Source organism: Homo sapiens, chromosome 2 (genome assembly GCF_000001405.40).
Source record: "Homo sapiens chromosome 2, GRCh38.p14 Primary Assembly".
NCBI lineage: Eukaryota > Metazoa > Chordata > Mammalia > Primates > Hominidae > Homo > Homo sapiens.
This window is the reverse complement of record NC_000002.12, coordinates 46151443-46170450: the sequence shown is the minus strand read 5'-3', so window position 1 is coordinate 46170450 and position 19008 is coordinate 46151443. Positions and strand designations below refer to the sequence as shown.

The 19008-nt window shown below is 49.8% G+C and overlaps 1 protein-coding gene across 18 annotated transcripts in view, besides 1 other annotated feature; it reads right to left on the bottom strand.

Moving 5' to 3' along the window:
* Positions 1 to 19008, bottom strand: part of PRKCE (protein kinase C epsilon) — a 536712-nt gene that overhangs the window by 17540 nt on the left and 500164 nt on the right. For all 18 annotated transcript variants that reach the window (XM_005264428.2, XM_011532980.4, NM_005400.3 and 15 more), the window contains one exon: positions 10699 to 10845. In XM_005264428.2, coding sequence (XP_005264485.1) covers positions 10699 to 10845 — 147 coding nt within the window. The remainder of the gene's footprint in view (positions 1 to 10698; positions 10846 to 19008) is intronic.
* Positions 2247 to 2434: a silencer, noted in NCBI's record as "fragment chr2:46395156-46395343 (GRCh37/hg19 assembly coordinates)". NCBI's record gives its function as "represses an EF-1alpha promoter that drives an FKBP-Casp9 reporter gene in an ReSE screen in phorbol 12-myristate 13-acetate-treated (for megakaryocytic differentiation) K562 erythroleukemia cells {active_cell/tissue: K562(+PMA)}" and the evidence as "EXISTENCE:reporter gene assay evidence [ECO:0000049][PMID:32094911]".

Below are 19008 nucleotides of genomic sequence, written 5' to 3'. Positions count from 1 at the left end.
ATTGTTGACGCTGGGTGATGAACACATGGGGACTCATTCAATGATTTGCTCTACTTTTATATATGTTTGGAAATTTCCGTACTAAAGTTAAAATTATAAGTCCCAAATCTCAAAAACATGATGCTGAGTGAAAGAAGGCAGACACAAAAAAAGTACATGCTATGTGGCTCCATTTATAAGAAACTCTAGAAAAGACGAATCTAATCTCCAGTGACAGAAAGCAGACCAGGGTTGCCTGGGGCTATGGGCAGGAAACTTCTTGGGAGGATGGAGGTGTTCTATATACTTATTGTGCTGGTGGTCACATGGGTGTATGACATTTTTCAAATGCATCAGAATGTGGACTTGAAATGGGTGCATTTATTCTATGTAAATTTTGTTGCAATACAATTGATTAAAAAACCCTGCAAATCCCTGCTCTCACATGGCTGGGGCTGGAAGAAATCTTAGGGATTACTTAAGTCCCTCATTTTACAGGAAAGGAGCAGAGAGATTGAGTGAATTTCTCAGCATCTCACAGACAGTAACAGTGGGGACTAGCACCCAGTTCTGTCTAACACTTCCCCTTAGCTCACTGCCTGTGATACAAGGTGGGTGCTTCAATCTGAAGTGCCACATTTTGGGGTGACTGTCTTCTCAATTATTTGGTTGAACACCCACACCCCAGGTCCCTATAGTCTGAGTCTGCCACGCCTCCCAGGAAGTCTGCAAATCCTGTTACTGCCAACACTAGCTGATATGTCAGCTGCTGCGCTAGGGGGGACGGAGTGCGGCTAAAGTCCTAGGTCAGGGTCTGGTTTATTTTCGAAGTCATCTCAGTTGATAAGCCCTACTCTGGAGGGCTTATCTTTCCATCTCCTTACTTAAGGCAAATATATTTCATAGTTCCCTGGCCTAGCCATTTGCCACCCTCTTCCACGCCTAGCTGGGCTCTCACACCTGAAATACTCCATTGATCTCCAAGCTCTGTGCTCCAAGAAAGCTGCTGTTAAGGCGAAATAGGTCCAGAAAGGAGTAGCCAGAGGAACATGGAGGGTGAAGGGCTGCTGCTATGTGGCCAGGCCTTCTCACAGTGAGGAGACTGAGGTTGATGTGGAAACTTAATGAACCTTCACAAACCCACTGTGTATTAGTCAAATCCCAGAATTCCAGAATAACAATGGAATGTTAAGTTTAGGCCAAACCTAATTCTGTTACCATCCCCCTCCCCAGCACAAACAATGGGAAGGTAAGAAGGCACTGATCCCCCAAGTGCAAAACTGGATTCCCCAGAGTGTCTCTTCTCCATGACATATATGCCTCTGGAGATCAAAGGTCCTCCACTTGATGTGGGCAGAACACACCCCCCCAGTCAGCTTGCAAAGTGCCCCTTGGTGCCTGTACCCTTCAGGGAACAAATTCTGGCTGGAGGGCTGAGCCCCTCTGTGAGGGAGGGTTGAGGCTCTGTCTGCCTTCACTTCAATACACACGAACCAGGCTCTGACCCCTGTCCCTCCTGGCAGCCAGACCATCCTTTAGTCCTCTCCGCAGAGATAGGCAGGAGGGCATTGCTTATCCAGCAGTGCAGACCCACTTGGATAGGATCTTCTGCAAGACCCAAGATGAGAAGGGGGCTGACATAGGCTCTCAGGACCCACAGAAACGCTGGCTCCCAGCCTCCCCAGAGGCCCTCTTCTCTCTGTCCTCAAACCTTGAAAGGCAGAGCTCCAAATTCCTCTTCCAAATGAGCATCCTGTTAGGAGTCAGGTGCCGGATTTTACCCTACTGCCTGTTATCCCTTAAGTATTTTGCATTATCAAGTCTTCTGCCATCGAAGCTTTTCAAGGTGGCAATGTTAGGGTGATGGCAGAAGATTCTTTCCTTGCCTTTGTCAAGCTTCTCCCTCTAGGGCTTCAGGGCTTCACAGAGGGCTCAAAGGACATGTTCAACAAACACTTGTTGAATATAACTGACCTGAATCTTGCCTTTCCCTTTCTCCTTTTATGCCTTTCGCAGATAGTTCTTTCTTCCTGATCCCTCCCAGCTTTCTGTCAAGTTCCAGCTCCTCTAGGAAACATTCCCTGATTCCTCCTGCTGTCCTCTGGTTTGATCAGGCGTGGCCTAGGAAGTCCTCCCATGCTCCCAGGTGAGTTGTATGTGTGTTACTTCAAGTGCAGGTGGGTCTGGGAGGAGATTAAGTTCAAGAAACACTAGTCTGATGAACCCAGGAAGGCATATACCAAAGTAACAGCCATTAAGACACAAAGAAAAGCTTAGGAGCTTATGAAAGTGCCCAGCAAAGCCCAGGCCAGCCCAGGCCTCACACTCTTCCCTGGAGTGGGGGTAGGGGATGAAAATGATGGCCCTCCCAATCCCAGGCCACAGGAACGTTCCTGCCATCAGAATTCTCTAATGGTGAAATCATTGTTCCTGCCATCAGAATTCTCAAATGGCAAAATTCCTGCAATCAGAATTCTAAAATGGCGAAATCACTTGTCCAGAGTCAAAGATGCTCCACTGAGGCTGTTTCGCTTAGAAATATTTGGGAGCCTGCTGTGCTGGAACAGGGTCTCACTGGTGACTGCTACCACTTCAGGGCTGGGGTGCTGAGGGCCGCACAGCTGTACCCAGCAAAAACACTACTGAGAATGAAGGCAGGGAACGTCAACGAACGTCAACGTGGTAAGCATGGTCACAGAGTAAAAGCAGGGGACCGGGGGGCGGGGTGGGGGGTGCTGAGAAAATGTGGCAGAACTTGGGGTGCCATCCTAAGAGGCAAAAAGGGCTGGGAATGCTGGCACCTGGGGTGAGTCACCCTCGCAGTACCTCCCTCCCCTTGGCACTCCCCAGCTCATACCAGTGGCTGTGCTGGAATGACGCCCCTGCAGGCGCCTCAGCATTCTGAACTGTGCTCCTTCCCTGCCTTCAGATGCTTTCTGCCCTGTAATGGCTGGTGCCTTGCTAGATGGTGCCATCCCCTCATCTGAACTCCTGGCCCGTCAGCCCCTTTGGGACAGGAGTGTTGTCCAGTCCAGCCTCCCTTGGCCTCAGGCTCCTGTTGTCCTCCTCACCAACAGCATCAACACCATCAACACCATCCAAGTGTTCACCTGTATCAGGCACTGTGCTACTCATTTCAGGCAATTAGGTTTGTTGATGCTTCACAGCAACCCCAGGTGGTAGATATTTATAACCCCCATGCTATGATCAGCAGACCGAGGCTCAGAGAGAAGTGGTGACTTTCCCAATATCCCACAGCCCAAATTAGAACCTGGTTGCATCTGATTCCAAAGCCCAGCCTCCAAACATCACACCAACCTCCTGCAATTCTTAACTCTTGATTCTTGGAGTTTGGGGATGAGAAGAAGTTCAAAGGCCAGGGTAGGGGTGGTGAATGGAGAGAGAGGAATTAAAATTCATTGAGAATCTACAGTGCACAAAGTAGCTTAGACTTATTCTATTCCTGTTTATAATTCTTTTTGAGACAGGATCTCCCTTTGTCTCCCAGGCTGGAGTGCAGTGGCATGAACATGGCTCACTACAGCCTCAACCTCCTGAGCTCAAGCGATCCTCCCACCCCAGCCTCCCAAGTAGCTGGGACTACAAGTGCATGCCACCACGCCTGGCTACTTTTTGCATTTTTTGTAGAGACAGGGTTTTACCGTGTTGCCCAGGCTTGTCTCGAACTCCTGAGTGCAAGTGATCTGCCTGCCTTGGCCTCCCAAAGTGCTGGAATTATAGGTATGAACCACAGTACCCAGCTATTCCTGTTAATAATTCCATGAGTGAAGAATTATCATAGTATCCCAATTTTACAGATAAGGAGGCTCAAGGAAGCCAGAGGTCCAGGGGTGAGGTGAATTCTGAGTGTCACATGGCTTTCCTGTGAGAGCAATTTTCTTCCAACCCAAGTCTCTCAGAAGTCAAAGCCAGTATCCTGTCCACTGTACCATGCCACCCGCTGGGTCAACCACCAAAAACAGGTTTCTGGACTTTTCCCATGCCCTCCAGCCCTGGATCAGAGTCCTGGCTCTTGGAGGGCTCTTGTAGCCTCTTGGATGGTAAGCCGCTTGGATGTGGTGGACACAGTCCAGGGGGATGTCCTCGTGAGGGGCTGCAGAACTCAGCCTTGCTCCTGCCCCAGCTCTGCCAGAACAGAGGATGAGGATGGTGTCATGACTGGCCTCCATCATCACAACCCATGTTATCAGGTGGTCCCTAGGCAGGTGGGCTGGCTTCAGGGGAAGGGGCTGCCTGTTCAACAGGGCTCCTCCTCAGGTCGCTAAGTTGGTGAAGTGTGCGGGTCTCGAGCCCACTTCCCAGGTTTTCTCTCAGCACAGCCCAGTCATGCAGGAGCATGCAGGAGAGGCCTCCCTCGGGGGTCCCGCCATGCAGCGCGGATGGCTGGATGGAAACGGATCATGAGGTTGAGAGGGGCCTCTATGTCACCGGGCCTGAGGGCTCACCTACCTGGAGAGACTCCCCACTCTGGAGGCCTTACCTTAAAGAGGGACATTCACACTGAAGCAAACTTGAAAAAAGAGAACATGTACACAAAGAGAAGTTTACTTGGCCAGCATTTCCCTCATTGCCTCTGGCTTTCACTGAGGACAACTAGGTTTCTGGGGAGGCAAATCTCTCCCTCCTACGCTGGCTTCCCCCCATTCCAGTGCTGAAGCCCTGGGAGCCAGAGTCTCAGAGCTGAACGCTTTTGAGGGGAAGGAATGGGTACACAGCGGAGAAGCCAGGAGTGAGCAGAACATCCCCAAGATCTGCAAGGTCAGATGATGCCCTTCAACCACACCAAACACATCGCTCTGCCCCTCCAGTCCCCAGAGAAGGCAAGCCCATCAGTAACACAAAAGCGAAATGTGCTACTGTTATTGGCAATTAGACAAGGCCATCATCTTGGGATGAAATCCCCAATGGGATAGACCAGTGAATTCTAGGGTTGGAGATTTTCTCCAGCATCGAAGGCTTTGGCTCCAGCCTTGCTGGCTTTCCTGTCTCCCCAACCCCTCAGTGCTGGAGTATTTGCCACCAAACAGCCCCCCACTGTGTGTCCTTGCTCTGAAGCAAGCCACCCCCGGAAAATTGACTTGAGTACATGATGGTGCAAAGTCTTTGGTTTGGTGTTGATGGCACATCACTTGCACAAACTCAGTTCATTATGTGGGTGGACAGAGGGTGAACAAGAGGAATACAAAAGGGAAAGTGGAGGAGGGAGAGTACGTAAGAGAGCTGAGAGAACGAAAGACAGGAAAGTCTCCACGCTGAAGCAGAGGCCACTGAAAACTGCACTGGGTGGGGGTTAGTACAAAGGGATGTTGGCCTGTAGTCAGGAAACCCAGTTGGACTAGTGACAGCTGGTGAGTCAGGGCAGGGGTTAGACAAGGGAGGCTTAGGAGCCGGGGGAGCAGAAATCTCAGCTTAGCAGACATCTCAAGAAGGCAAAAGCCTGGGGGGAATAGAAGCCAACTGAGGTATGTGATGGAACCTGACCAGAGGCCAAATTCCAGCTATGAATCTGGACAATCTCCTTGGTGATAGCTTCAGAGGGGCGAGGCTTCCTGTGCAGGAATGGAAGTCAGGCCTGAAAGCTGTTGTGCTGTTGCATCCTCGGCCTCTGTGGTGGTGACCCAGGGGTCCCCAGCCTCTAGCGAGCCAGCCTGGGCAGAGTACAGCCTTGTTGTGCCTGGCAGGTTCTTCCACGAAGGGGCTCTGTCCTTGTAGTGAGAGTGGAGAGGGTCAGGAGCTCTGCAAAAATATGCCACTGCATCCTGGCTCTTGTAAGTGACATGACCTCTCCCAGCCTCACCTCCAGCACCAACCACCTGACAAAACCAGGTCCTCCTTGTATCAGACAGGCAGGGCACCCCCCGCCCCGGGTCACCCAGATTCAGTATGGCCAGCTGAGGAGTGGGGTAATTCAGGTTTCTGGAGACTGGTGTCATTCTAGTATGATGCCAAAAGGGCATGGCTTGGAAGCAAGTGGAGGTAACACACGACAGAGGAAACCTGGAGCTCCCTCAGGGGCTTCAGGCACTTGACTGAGTCACCTTGGAGGTATTCAGTTTTACCAGATTAGGGCACTTGTACAGCTGCCTTCCTTGCTTGTTTAAACACACGCCCAATGTCTCCTTGAGGCCACCATCAAATTGCAAGGCTGATGGTGTTTGCTCACAGACTTGATCCTTTCCCTTCTCACGGTGTCTTGCCTTTGACCTGGAGTCTGTCAAAGACCCAGGACCAACAACTGCACATTGTCCCTGGCTGCTTGTGATCCAGTAACTTGGAGGTTTTTTCCCAATGTCGGGATCTAAACCAGTTTTCCCTCTTCCCTCTGTCAAAGCCCTTTCTTTCCCAGCTCTGCTAGGAAGGCATCTCACATGTCCTCAAGTTATTTGATACCTTAAGCCCAAGGAAATCCTGTCTTGTGATGGCAATCTGCCCCCTGAATAGAAGCCACCTCACCACAACCTCTGTGGGGTGCACCTCAGCTTCCCCGTGTCTCTCAGTGGCCTCTGTGGGGTGCGCCTCAGCTTCCCTGTGTCTCTCAGTGGCCTCTGTGGGGTGCACCTCACCTTTCCCGTGGCCTCTGTGGGGTGCACCTCAGCTTCCCTGTGTCTCTCAGTGGCCTCCGTGGGGTGTGCCTCAGCTTCCCCATGTCTCTCAGTGGCCTCTGTGGTGTGCACCTCACCTTTCCCGTGGCCTCTGTGGGGTACGCCTCAGCTTCCCCATGTCTCTCAGTGGCCTCTTTGGGGTGTGCCTCAGCTTCCCCGTGTCTCTCAGTGGCCTCTGTGGGGTGTGCCTCAGCTTCCCTGTGTCTCTCAGTGGCCTCTGTGGGGATGAAGCTCAGCTTCCCCGTGTCTCTCAGTGGCCTCTGTGGGGTGTGCCTCAGCTTCCCTGTGTCTCTTAGTGGCCTCTGTGGGGAGTGCCTCAGCTTCCCCGTGTCTCTCAGTGGCCTCTGTGGGGATGAAGCTCAGCTTCCCCGTGTCTCTCAGTGGCCTCTGTGGGGTGTGCCTCAGCTTCCCTGTGTCTCTTAGTGGCCTCTGTGGGGAGTGCCTCAGCTTCCCCGTGTCTCTCAGTGGCCTCTGTGGGGATGAAGCTCAACTTCCCCGTGGCTCTCAGTGGCCTCTGTGGGGTGCACCTCAGCTTCCCCATGGCTCTCAGTGGCCTCTATGGGGATGCACCTCAGCTTCCCTGTGTCTCTCAGTGCCCTCTGTGGGGTGCCCCTCCACTTCCCCATGGCTCTCCAGTGGCCTCTGTGGGTGGCCATCTGTTTTGCCTGTGGTAAGGCTGACTCTGCTTATGCAGCACAGAGTTGTCCTCACTGCTGGTACCTGAGCTAGGCAGGCACCCACATCCCCGGGGTCAACCCTGAGTTGGTTACAGGGGCGCGATGGCGTATGAAAACCTCAAGTGAGTTTTCCCACTAGTCTTTTGAGGCTTTCTGAGATGAGAAATGCAGTATGTGCATCACTGCCATGGGCTTTAATCCTTGGGCTTTATTTATTTCTGCTTTTTCTACACAAGCCCACGGATGACTCGGGCTGGTGCCATTGACATTTTTCAGAAAAGAGCTTTTGATTTAGGGACAGATTTGGGTCACTTTTCCAACCTGCTAACTAGATGTGGACCACTCTCGTTTATTTTTTTTCCCCAATTTTGGTATTTCTCCTGAGAGAAATCTCTAGTGCCAAGGTTGTAAATGTCAGACATTTAAATAACTTGAAGAAGTCTTGAAAGACCTGCAGCTGAGAACTCTCTAAGGATCAACATTACTCAGCTCAAAGTGTGGCCAGAAACACCTCTTACACAACGTCAGCTTTCCGTTTTAGCCTTCCTTTTTCCAGATGTTCTAATTCTCTCCTCCCAACTGAATTCAAACCTACCTAATCAATACCCTCTCCCCTGACCCCGCCCCCCTCCACAGCACTGAGCATTGAGGTTAACTCTGAAGGTCTGGGGAGGCAGGGAGAGTGGGAACATGCACAGGAGATCACTTCAAGGCAACGATGAAGTCAGTCTTTAAGAAGTCTGACTGAGGCAGTTTTGAAATCGGTGGGAGCTCCTGGACAGCCCCATCCTTTCTCTTTGCCATCCTCTCAGGGGGTGATAAGGACCCTGAAAGCTTCCTTGACCCTCCAGGCAAAAGAAAGCAAACAGGGTCTTTCTGGCTCTTTAGTCCCAAGGGGGAGCTCCCAAGAGGCCCAAGGACAGAAAGCACAGGTCCCTTTTGCTCTAGACATCCAGGCAGAGGTGGACTCCTGCCTGACCCCTGACCCAGGGATATATTTCCTCCTGCTGGCTCCCAGACCCCCTCATACCCCTGCCCACAGGAACACCTTCACTTCTGGCCAGGGAGAGCTTTAAGGGGCTCCCTGCCTGTCTGAGGCAAGGCAATGCCTGCGTGTTAGTGGAGTAAGTCACGTGCCTGCCTCCCTCCCGGTTTGTCCTTCCCTCTCTTCCTTTCTGTCTAGGTTTTTCCCCATCCCTCAGACCCACACCTGTTCACCTCACCCCTGTTCTTCATACCCTTCCTGCCATGTGCTGCTCAAAGAGGGATGCCTCTCAGAAGGCCTGCACTTTCATTGGCTCAAAGTCTCAAACTAAAAGTTGGGAGTCCCAGTGAGGGATTCCTGTGAAGGGAAGGGCTTTGGCAGTGTTCTGGAATCTGCTATACCTCAGGGAGAGACGATTCTTCATGAATCCACACTCTAAAACCTCCTCTGTGCCTTTTATGATTAAGGTTCTTCCCTACTTCCTTCCCACCTCGTGGCCTCTCAATAAAAACCCCCTGGCTTCCTCTGCCACACCCCAGACCCTCTCTCTCCTCACACCCCTTGCTGATGGTTCCCCCTGGGCTTCACTTGTCCTCCCCACTCTTCCCCAAGCAGGAAGGGGCTGCTCCTCCGCCTCTGCCAGTACAGCTGGGGCCTGGTGCTCCATAAGCCTGGTTTAATGTGGTTTTGCTGAGACCTGGAGACTCGAGTTTAAGTCATCTTGTAGCCCTGCACTGATAATCCCCTCAGCTTCAGTCTCATCCTGTGTTTCTGTTAGTTGGGCCTCGATTCTTCACTTAGCACTACTTCTAATTTTTCTTTGGGTTGATTAACTTAGATTAAATAGAAGTTAAAATTCACCCTACCATCTGAGCCTTTAGTTTCTCCTCCTCCTTTTTTAGGCCTCTGGGGTCCTACTTCCCCTATTTTACCAGGGGCACAGTTAATCCTTTCCTTAAAGGTGACTGGCAGAGGCCCTCAGCCCCCAGCAATGGGGCAGGCTGGCATGTGCAGGGAGCCCTGTGGCAGCAGGGGACAGTTAACCCAGGGAGCTTAGAGTCTACGCCCTCCTGGCTTGGAATGGTGGGCCTGGAGCTGTGGTGGAGATGGGCTGAAGAGGAAGTGATATTTACAAAGAAAGAAGGTGAACCTAAATCTGGGCTGTCCCAAGCTTGTGCTATCCAGTGAAAACATGAAAACCAAAGGAGGAAGCGAATGAGGAGTGGTAACGGGACCAAGCATCCGGGGATGTTCAACCCCACGTGCTCGAGTCTGGTTGAGGCCTGGACCACACCCGTCCACTGACACTATCCCCCACCCCCACTCCCACTCCCACCGTGGAAGATTTCTGAGAATCACAACATTGTCAATAACGGCTCCCCAGAAAATCTCCTTGAATAGAACGGAATTCCTCTCTGATGGTTCACAAGGCACAGGAAGGTCTTTTCTGCACTTGGAGAAGGGGAGCAGGAGCTCATCTGACAGTATGCTGGGTGACTGAGGGCTGACTGCCTGATGGCAAATCCTCCCTGCCTGGGACCCCAGTTCCACAGCCCCACAGCACTGGGGCTCCTGCCTAATAAACTCTTACATTGCACACCCCCCTTCACCTCCCAGCAAGCCTGCCAGCCGGCTACCTCAATTTTCAGTCTGAATGATTGATTGCTTCAACGGGCTACAACACAACAGAATTAAGATAACACACGCTGTAACTTTAAGGACTGCAACATGACCCTCGCCCCATTCCAGCAGAAGGCCACTGCCAGGACGTGGTCTTTATTTTGTGAGTCGAGCCCAGACTGAAAGCTCTGAGCTTCAACTGCCCTGTGTTACATGCCCCCTCCAACTGGCATCACAGCAGGCCTGAGAATCTGGAAGGCAGAAGGGAGAGTGCGGCAGAGAAGGGAGAGGGTATCTCACAGAAATGCACTTTTACGCAGTGGGCCTCCCAGAAGCTCCCCCCAGCACCATCCTTCCTGCTGCCAGTCAGTGAATCCCAGCTTCATGCTCTGTGCTAGTTCCACGGAATGACCACGGCTATTATTTAGTTAATATTTTCCTTTAAACTGACCCATTTAGAAAACAAACCCAGTTCTTCATAAAGAAACCTTATGTCTCTACCATACATGGAAAACTAGTATCATTTGTCATTTTCAATCAAAATAAATAAATTGAATCTCTGTAAAGACAAAAGGTGTTCTGTGGCCCACGTAAATCATCATCTTGGGTGCTGCTGTAGTAGGTTACATGTTTTCAATAGTAAACACTTGGGGCCTAAAGACATTGTCTTAGGGAGAGCCTCAGCCACCTCTGGTCTTTGTCATTTTTACTGTAATACGCATCCCCTGACCAACTCTTCCTGGGTGCACGCAGCCTGTCCTGCAAGTACCTGGGCCCGACCCATGGTGCTGAACGTGCACGGGGACCAACTTACAATGCGTGGTTTGAAGGGTGGCTTGATCTTCTTCTGCTCCAGGAGCACCCAGTCAATCTCTTTGAAGAATGGGTGCTGCTTGATGGCGTCCTCGCCATTCTGCGATGCCACACAGCCCAGGCGCTTGTGGGGATTCTTCGTCATGAACTGCAGGGATGAGGACAGAGTCGGAATTAGTGACAAAGGCCTGGCCAGCACAGGCTATAAGGGACAGATGGAGGTCAGCCAAAGCAGCATCTTCAGCATCGCCTCCCAAGTCTGTTCTTTGCACTTTCAAGGGCCACATCTGTTGGGTTTTCTTTAACTCTTACATAGAATTGACTATGTCCCAGACACCATTCTAGACATGGTACATGTATCAACTCATTTCATCCTAATGCCCTACGAGGTACTATCATTGTCTCTATATTATAAACGAGGCACTAGAAGCACACAGAGGTCAGCTAATTTGGCCAAAGTCACCCAGCTAGTAAGGGACCAAGCTGGGATTATGCACTCTGGCTCTTACTGACTCTGTGATCCCCCTCAGATTCTCAGGTCTTCTCATCAGGGAGACTGAGGTCTGATAAACTCATTTACATGGAGGGGTCAACGGTCCTTTTTGAGATAAGGAATAAGGACCAGGTAAATGATCAAATGTACTAATGCCTCCTCCAGCTCCTTTCCTGTTCCTGGACCCAGCCCCTCTCCACTGTTTTTATGTTTGAATTTGCAATCTTGACACAAAATGCCCATGAAGGTCAAAAGATAAAAAACAAGAAAAAGAAAGGCTTATTCCTTTTCAATGCTTGTAGGTGAAAATCACATTGATGTGTTTTATATTTTCTGGGTGGTGTCTGGCGATCCCTACACACCCAGGTGAACTTGTTATTCCTATTAAATGAGTCAGTCCTGAGGGTAAACGTTAATTTAATTGAGCATACGTATACCAATAAAACCTTGGGGAAAAAAAGTGCCAGTAGGTGGAAATATTTCTGATAGCTACCCGAAATAATGGCATGTATGTATTGTATGTGCATGAGTGTTAGAGACAAAATGTCACATTTCATAGTGTGAAGGCTGAATATCTATCTAAACAGAGGAACTTGAGAGAATAAACTGTAATCCAAAGGAATACATCTTTGGTAGAATTTCAGGCTTCATCAGCAAGGGAGAGAGCCTCTAACTATTTCTTGCCTGATGCCCTTGGAACCAAAGCACCTGGCCTCGAGTTCAATGCGATTGGAGGGGGCAGCCCCAGATAAAGAGTGAAAGGGGTGGAGAGTAGGTGTGAGTCAGGAATGGTACCAGTGCACCTCATCTTTCTCATCTACAAGTCAGCAAGGTGACCCCCACTTTAACACCTTGGATGGCCCCCACCATGAAGTCCATACTCCTTAGTTTGGCACACAGGAGCTCCTCAGCCTGAACCCTGTCTACCTTGCTGTCCTTTTGCATTCTTTCTTCCCTCTGGTTGAATGTCCCTCTCCAGTCCCTAGGCCTCCTCTAGGAACTAGTCAAAATGCTACCTCCTCTGTGAAGCCTCCCCACATTCCCTCCTCTGTTGATATCTTAGACCCCAGGCTTCTGGTTTATTTAAATTATGATTTGTCTAAACATCTCTTCCCCTTGGTGAGCTCTATGATTTAGGAATCTGTCTTATCTGCCCCAAACCTGGCTCAGTGCCTGGTTCCCACTGTACACTCAGCAAATTGTGATGATGGAGTGAGGGGCTAAAGGCTGGGCCTCAGGGCATAGCACTGAGGGAGGGAGACTGTGGCACAGCCGCTTATTGTTGCACAGGTTGTGCACTGCATACTTCTATGATACAAATGGCCTTCTCTAAAGTTCTGCATCACCTTCACATAGGCAGTAGCCCTCGGAGACACAGCTCAGTGGCTAGAGTCATGGAAATCCTGGCCTGGCCCTGCAGTCAAGTGACAGTGTGAGGAAATGAAGTGTTTTGAGGCCAAGGGTGTAGTAGATTCCTCACTTCCTCAGCTCCTCCCGTCCTCCCTTTTCTGGGAGGGGAAGTATCAGGGTCAGGGATACACATAGAGGTTTGGGCATCTTAAGAAGCTGCCCCTGAGCCAGAGGCTCTTCTCAGTTGGAAGATGCTCTTCTCATGAACGTCTCACCCTCACGAACTGGTTAACCGGTTAGGCACGACTTCTAACTTCTGGATCTCTGTAGGTTAAGGTTTCTCAGCCTTCATGCTATTAACATTTTTGACTGGATACTTCTTTGCAGGGTGGGTGGGGGGAGCTGTCCTGTGCATTGCAGGCAGTTTAGCAGCCTCCATGGCCTCTACCTGCTACATGCCAGCAGCACCAAAAATATCTCCAGACATTACTGAATGTCTAAGGGAACAGGACAAAATTGCCCCTAGTTAAAGGCCACTGCTCTAAGGCCTCCAAAATAAAAGGGCTCAGCTGGTATGCTGGCAGGGGACTCACAGGGAGGTGTGATGGGCTGGTGTTGGGGCCTGGGATGGTGGCCAGCTCTGCTGGGCATGGTGTTCTGGTGGACTCGGGTGCGGCTGAGGTTTTCCTTTAGTTACTCATCTGACTTGGGAAGAGATGGGGCTCCGGGAATCAGGAGACAAAAGCTCCCATGTCCACCCCAAGTTAATTACCCAAGAGAGTCCTCTGCAGTGATTCAGAGTTGCAGCTCCAAAGTGTAAGTAGAGGCAGAACCAATGAAGATATGCCTGTTGCAAGATCTCACTGAGTAGAAAAAGCAAGATACACCATCGACAGGAAAATGAGATACGTGTACAGCATTCCTACCATTGTATAACACAGAAAAAGAAATAAGAAGTTATATTTGTATTGCTTGTATATACCTAAAGAAATTCCAGAAGGATATATAAAAGCCTCAAAACATAAGTAGAGAGTGTGTGGGAGGTGGGCAGATGGAAGCAAGGATGAGACAGAGACCTTTCACTGTATCTGATTTTATGCTTTGTGTTTTTTAAAAAAATAGCATGTGATCAAACCAGCAAGCAAATAATGAAATATTTAAGGCCTAAATATATAAACTGAACAAAACAGAATTTGAAAAGTTGGACAACAGAGTCCCCCTAAGCAAGGCTCCTTCCCACTGGGTGACGTGCCCTTCCTAAAGTGCTTTCCTGTAGGAAGGTCAGGATGGAAGAGGCTGGGAGCCATTTTTGGATGCAGACAGTCTCGCTGAATGCCTTGCCTAGCAGGTGCCCTGTACTCATCGGTGAAAATCCCTTCTCTCCTTCCTTTGCACACACATGAGTCTCCATTCTGTACCAAGTGCTGTGGTGAGTGATGAGACACGGTCCCTGCCCTCACGGGGCATGTAGAAGAGTAAAGGAGGCTGAGAAGAAACACGTAACTGCCAGAGAATCAATTAGCTGAGACTGTGATGAACTCCCTGAGAGAAGCACAGCAGGCTCTGACAGTGTGATGGGCAAGGAACTTGGCAAAGCATTCCCTGAGAGGCAACACCTAGGCTGAGACCTGAAGGAGGAATGTACCTAGGCAAAAAGGGCACAGGGGAGAGTGGTCCAATATGGCCAGAGCCCAGCAGATGACGGGGAAGGGCTGAGGGGGAGGCGGGGCCTGATGCAGAACCCTGGAGGCTATGTGGAAGAGAAGGTCTTTATCTAATCACAATGTGATGAGTTTTAAGTAGGGGATGAGGCGCGAAATGGCTAGATTTGCATTCTTTTTTTTTTTTTTTCCACGTAACAAACATTTTATTATTTTTTTTTGTACATGAAGTTTTTTTTTTTTTTATATACTTTAAGTTTTAGGGTACATGTGCACATTGTGCAGGTTAGTTACATATGTATACATGTGCCATGCTGGTGCGCTGCACCCACTAAGAGATCACTCTGATAGACGTACAGAGATGAGAAGGACACAAGAAGGGCTGCCCGTTAGGAGGTCCTGCAGTTCACCAAGGGAGAGGCGGTGGTGGCTCCAATGGGGATAGTGGGGAGAAGGATGGAGAAAGGTAACTCAAATGGAAAAGGTTAGCAGGGGGAACGGACTTGATGACTAGCTGTGATGGGGAGAGAGGGATTGCACCCCATTTCTGGTCTGTTTAGAAAGGAAGACAGGGTGCCATTTACTGAACCAAGGAATTTGAGAGTGAGCAGATTTGAGGGGGACCATCCAGAGCTGTTTGGGAGTATACTGAATGTGAGGGACCCCTGGCCAGCTGAAGGGAGAAAGTGAGTAGGGAACTGGAAACACAGGCCTGGAGGCTGGAAGATGGGTCTGGCTGGGGATACCCCTCCCTGAGTGCAGGGTGGGAAGTGGGAGAGTGCTGTGCAGGGGAGAGCACAGGGTACCCAGAGGACCCGGGGCCCAGGCCTGAGGAACAAGAGAGGCGGTGACCAGAATCCATTCATGAAGGAGCCGAACAGGGGCCCGCGAGTGACACCAGCAAGGAGCTGAGAAGAGCTCCTTGAAGGGGTCCATCAAAGATTCACCCAAGAGGCACCCAGGTCAAAGTTTTCCTTGGCTCTCAGTTGAACTAGTTGTAATCATTTAATTGAACTAGTTATAATCATTTAATGTTTCGAGATTTTTACATAAAAATCTGGATTTCGTGCTTCTCTTGGAAAGCCAGATCTGGTGAGGTGAAGTCCTCGTTGCTGCTGGGGGATCATGAGGGGTCTCCGTTTACCCTGCCCCACCCAGTCCTGTTCACCTTCCACAGCTCCTGCTGGGCTCTTGCAGGCATTTAACTTTGAAATATGTGATAAAATGGAAAGAACAGAGAGCTAAGAGCTGTTTCTGTTTTTTATCAAACAGTTACATAGCTCCTACAATGTGCTTGGCACTGTTCTCAGCCCTTGGGACGCGTCTGAGAAATAAGCTGGAAAACGTTCCTGCCCTCACGAAGCTCAGTCTTGTGGAAGGAAATAGACAATAAACATAATACATAATATATATAGTGGGTTAGAAAGTGGAAACTGCTATCAGGTATCAACTGAGCAGGATAAAGGTGGATAGGGAAGGGGACAAGGTTTAGTTTTTTGTAAAAAAAAAAAAAAAAGCCTCACTGAGAAAATGCTACTGAGTCAACCTATGAAAATGTTGGCACTAAGAGGGCAGCAGGAGAAAGGGGTAGCAAAGGAGATGGAGAAGCAGCCGCCCAATGCCAGAGGAGACCCAGTCCCAGAGGGCGAGGACAAGGAGGACTTTAACACGGAGGGGCTTGGCTGAGCCAGTGAATGTGGCTGGGAGGCTCCAAGGCAGGGGTCCTGAAAGCTTCAAAGAGCCACAGGGGGCCGAGGAGAAATGCGGCGGCGGGCGGGGGGGTTGGGGGGGGTGGGGCGGGGTGGGGAGGGCCGTGAGGACATCAAGGCAGAGAAGTGCAACAGAAGTAATTTCCACGAGTAGCAAGAACCATTCTCGGAGTGAGAGGCCCAGCCCAGAACACACATTGAATTTGGAAAGTTGGATAAACTAGTATCCCTAAATAAGACTAGTACCCCCGAGGCCTCCTCACTGGCTTGGGGCAAGGGTGGAGGACTTTTGGAGGCTGGCAGGAGAGGCACCCTCCAGACCACGCTCTCCCCAGCAGCCAGAGCTACCTTCTAGGTGTACCAGCCAGGTCCCTCCCCTGTCTGGTCCTCCGAGGGTTAGCCCTGCACTGGGAATCGAATGGAAGCTCTCGTGGCATAAGAAGCCCTGCATACCCAGGCCGGGCGTGGAGGCTCACGCCTGTAATCCCAGCACTTTGTGAGGCTGAGGCGGGCGGATCACGAGGTCAGGAGATGGAGACCATCCTGGCTAACACGGTGAAACCCTGCCTCTACTAAAAATACAAAAATTAGCCAGGCATGGTGGTGGGCGCCTGTAATCCCAGCTACTCGGGAGGCTGAGGCAGGAGAATCTCTTGAACCCGGGAGGCGGAAGTTGCAGTGAGCAGAGATCGTGCCGCTGCACTCCAGCCTGGGTGACAGAGCGAGACTTGGTCTCAAAAAAAAAAAAAAAAAAAAAAAGAAGAAGAAGAAGAGGAAGAGGAGGAAGAAGAGGAAGAGGAGGACGAAGAAGAAGAAGCAGCCCTGCATACTCAGACACCGCCATCCCGTCACCCTCCTCGTGCCCACTCTCCCTGAGCTCCTTTTGGGTTGTCCACCCTGGCAGATGTTTTCTAGTCCAAGGCCTGTGCACTTGCTCTTCCTTCTGAACAGACGCCCTTTCCCCCAGTAGCCACCTGACTGAAACCTCGCCTTAGTGTCCCCTCATGGGACAGGCATTTCCAGACTCAAGAGCACCCCATGCAGCCTGTTGCTCCTCATTTCCTGAGCCTCTGCATGTGTCTTTTTGCACTTGTTACCATTTAGTACAATATACAGTCATTTGTCTGTTCATTTATTCACTAGTCTGTAAGCAGGGACTGTGTTGTTTGTATCACCAGCGCCTGGCATAGTGCCTGCCAATAAATATTTATAGAATAAATGAATAAATAGTCTTTACTAGATGCTCAATAAATATTTGTTTAATAAATGAATGCATGAATGAACATACTCTATTTGCCTCCTTCACTTCTCTTATCCCAATTGTGGCTACCTATTGATATATTTTTAATTTATTAAAAATAATAAATAATTCCACAGGATTGGAAACTTCACAAGGCAGAGACCAGGTCTCACCAATACTTATTCAGCATCTAGCACCATGCCTAGCATGTTGGAAGTGCTCAATAGATAGTAGTTCATTGAATGAATGAATGAAAGAGAGAGGGAGGAGAGTAAGGGCAGAGGGGAGAGAAGGAATGAGGTGAGGGAAAGAGGAAAGGAAGGAGGAAAAAAAAACTACAGAAAAGGGTAACATGTTCTGATGTGGAGTTTTCTAAAACATGGTACATGCACCCTCAGATACCTACAAAATGGTTTTAGATCTTTCAAAAATTTTTATACAATAATTTACATTAGGTAGGGTGTAGTGGCTCACACCTGTAATCCCAGCACTTTGGGAAGCCGAGGTGGGTGGATCATGAGGTCAGGAGTTCGGAACCAGCCTGGCCAACATGGCGAAACCCCATCTCTACTAAAAATACAAAAATTAGCTGAGCATGGTGGTGGGCGCCTGTAATCCTAGCTACTCGGGAGGCTGAGGCAGGAGAATCTCTTGAACCCGAGAGGCAGAGGTTGCAGTGAGCCGAGATCACGCCACTGCACTCCAGCCTGGGTAACAAAGCAACACTCCATCTTGAAAAAAAATTACATTAATTCATTATGGCAAGTGATACTGATTTTCTACCTACGATAATGGTATAAAATTTCTTTGTAAAATACAGGCTGGGCGCAGTGGCTCATGTCTGTAATCCCAGCACTTTGGGAGGCTGAGGTGGGCGGATCACCTGAGGTCAAGAGTTCAAGGCCAGCCTGGCCAACATGGTGAAATCTTGTCACTACTAAAAATACAAAAATTAGCCAGGCATGATGGCGGGTGCCTGTAATCCCAGCTACTCAGGAGGCTGAGGCAGGAGAATCACTTGAACCTGGGAGGAGGAGATTGCAGTGAGCCAAGATAGCACCATTGCACTCCAGCCTGGCCATTGCAGTGAGACTCTGTCTAAAAAAAAAAAAAAAATTTCTTTGTAAAATACATATAATCAGGTAAATATTGGAAGTTGATTAAAAGAACAAGAAAAGCTAGTAATAGTGCAGAAGACACTTGAAGATGGCAAATTTTGTGACTATAATGTGCAAATGATTGAATTTTGGGGCATTCAGATGAGTGGAAGAAGCCAAGTCTAGAAGTCATGGTCCCTGGGTTGTCACCCTCATCCTATCTTAGCTCAGAGGGGTGACCCTGGGCAGACTGCTTGCTTAACTTCCCTGTACCTCAGCTTTCACGGATTTCAAAAGGGGACAGGTAACATCACTTGCTTGACACAGTACAAGCATTGTTACATCGTAGAGATGGCTGTGCTGAGAAAGCATAAGGGGTTTTCCCATGTGAGGGATGATTCCTAGGGCAGGGTCAGTCTCTGTATTATGTATCTAAATCCAGCAGGACTGCATGAATTTCCAGTGTACCAGATCTTTTCTGATTGGCTCTTGAGCCACAGTGATGCTGTCGTGGACACAGGTGGGCGGTGCCCACCCTCCCTCCCCTCCTCTCTGTTCTCCATCACAGGTCCCTGATGAAGACAGGCCACAGGTAAGGAAGGTATGGAAGTGGCAGAGGTGATGTCAGCACAGTTGAGTTGCTTCTGTTCCCTCTGAAATGCTGGAGGACACAGATGTACACAGTGCCTCATCTCAGGAAGCACAGACATGCGCTCCTCTTCCCACCAGAAGAGCAAGTCATCTCAGGCCCCATTCTCTTG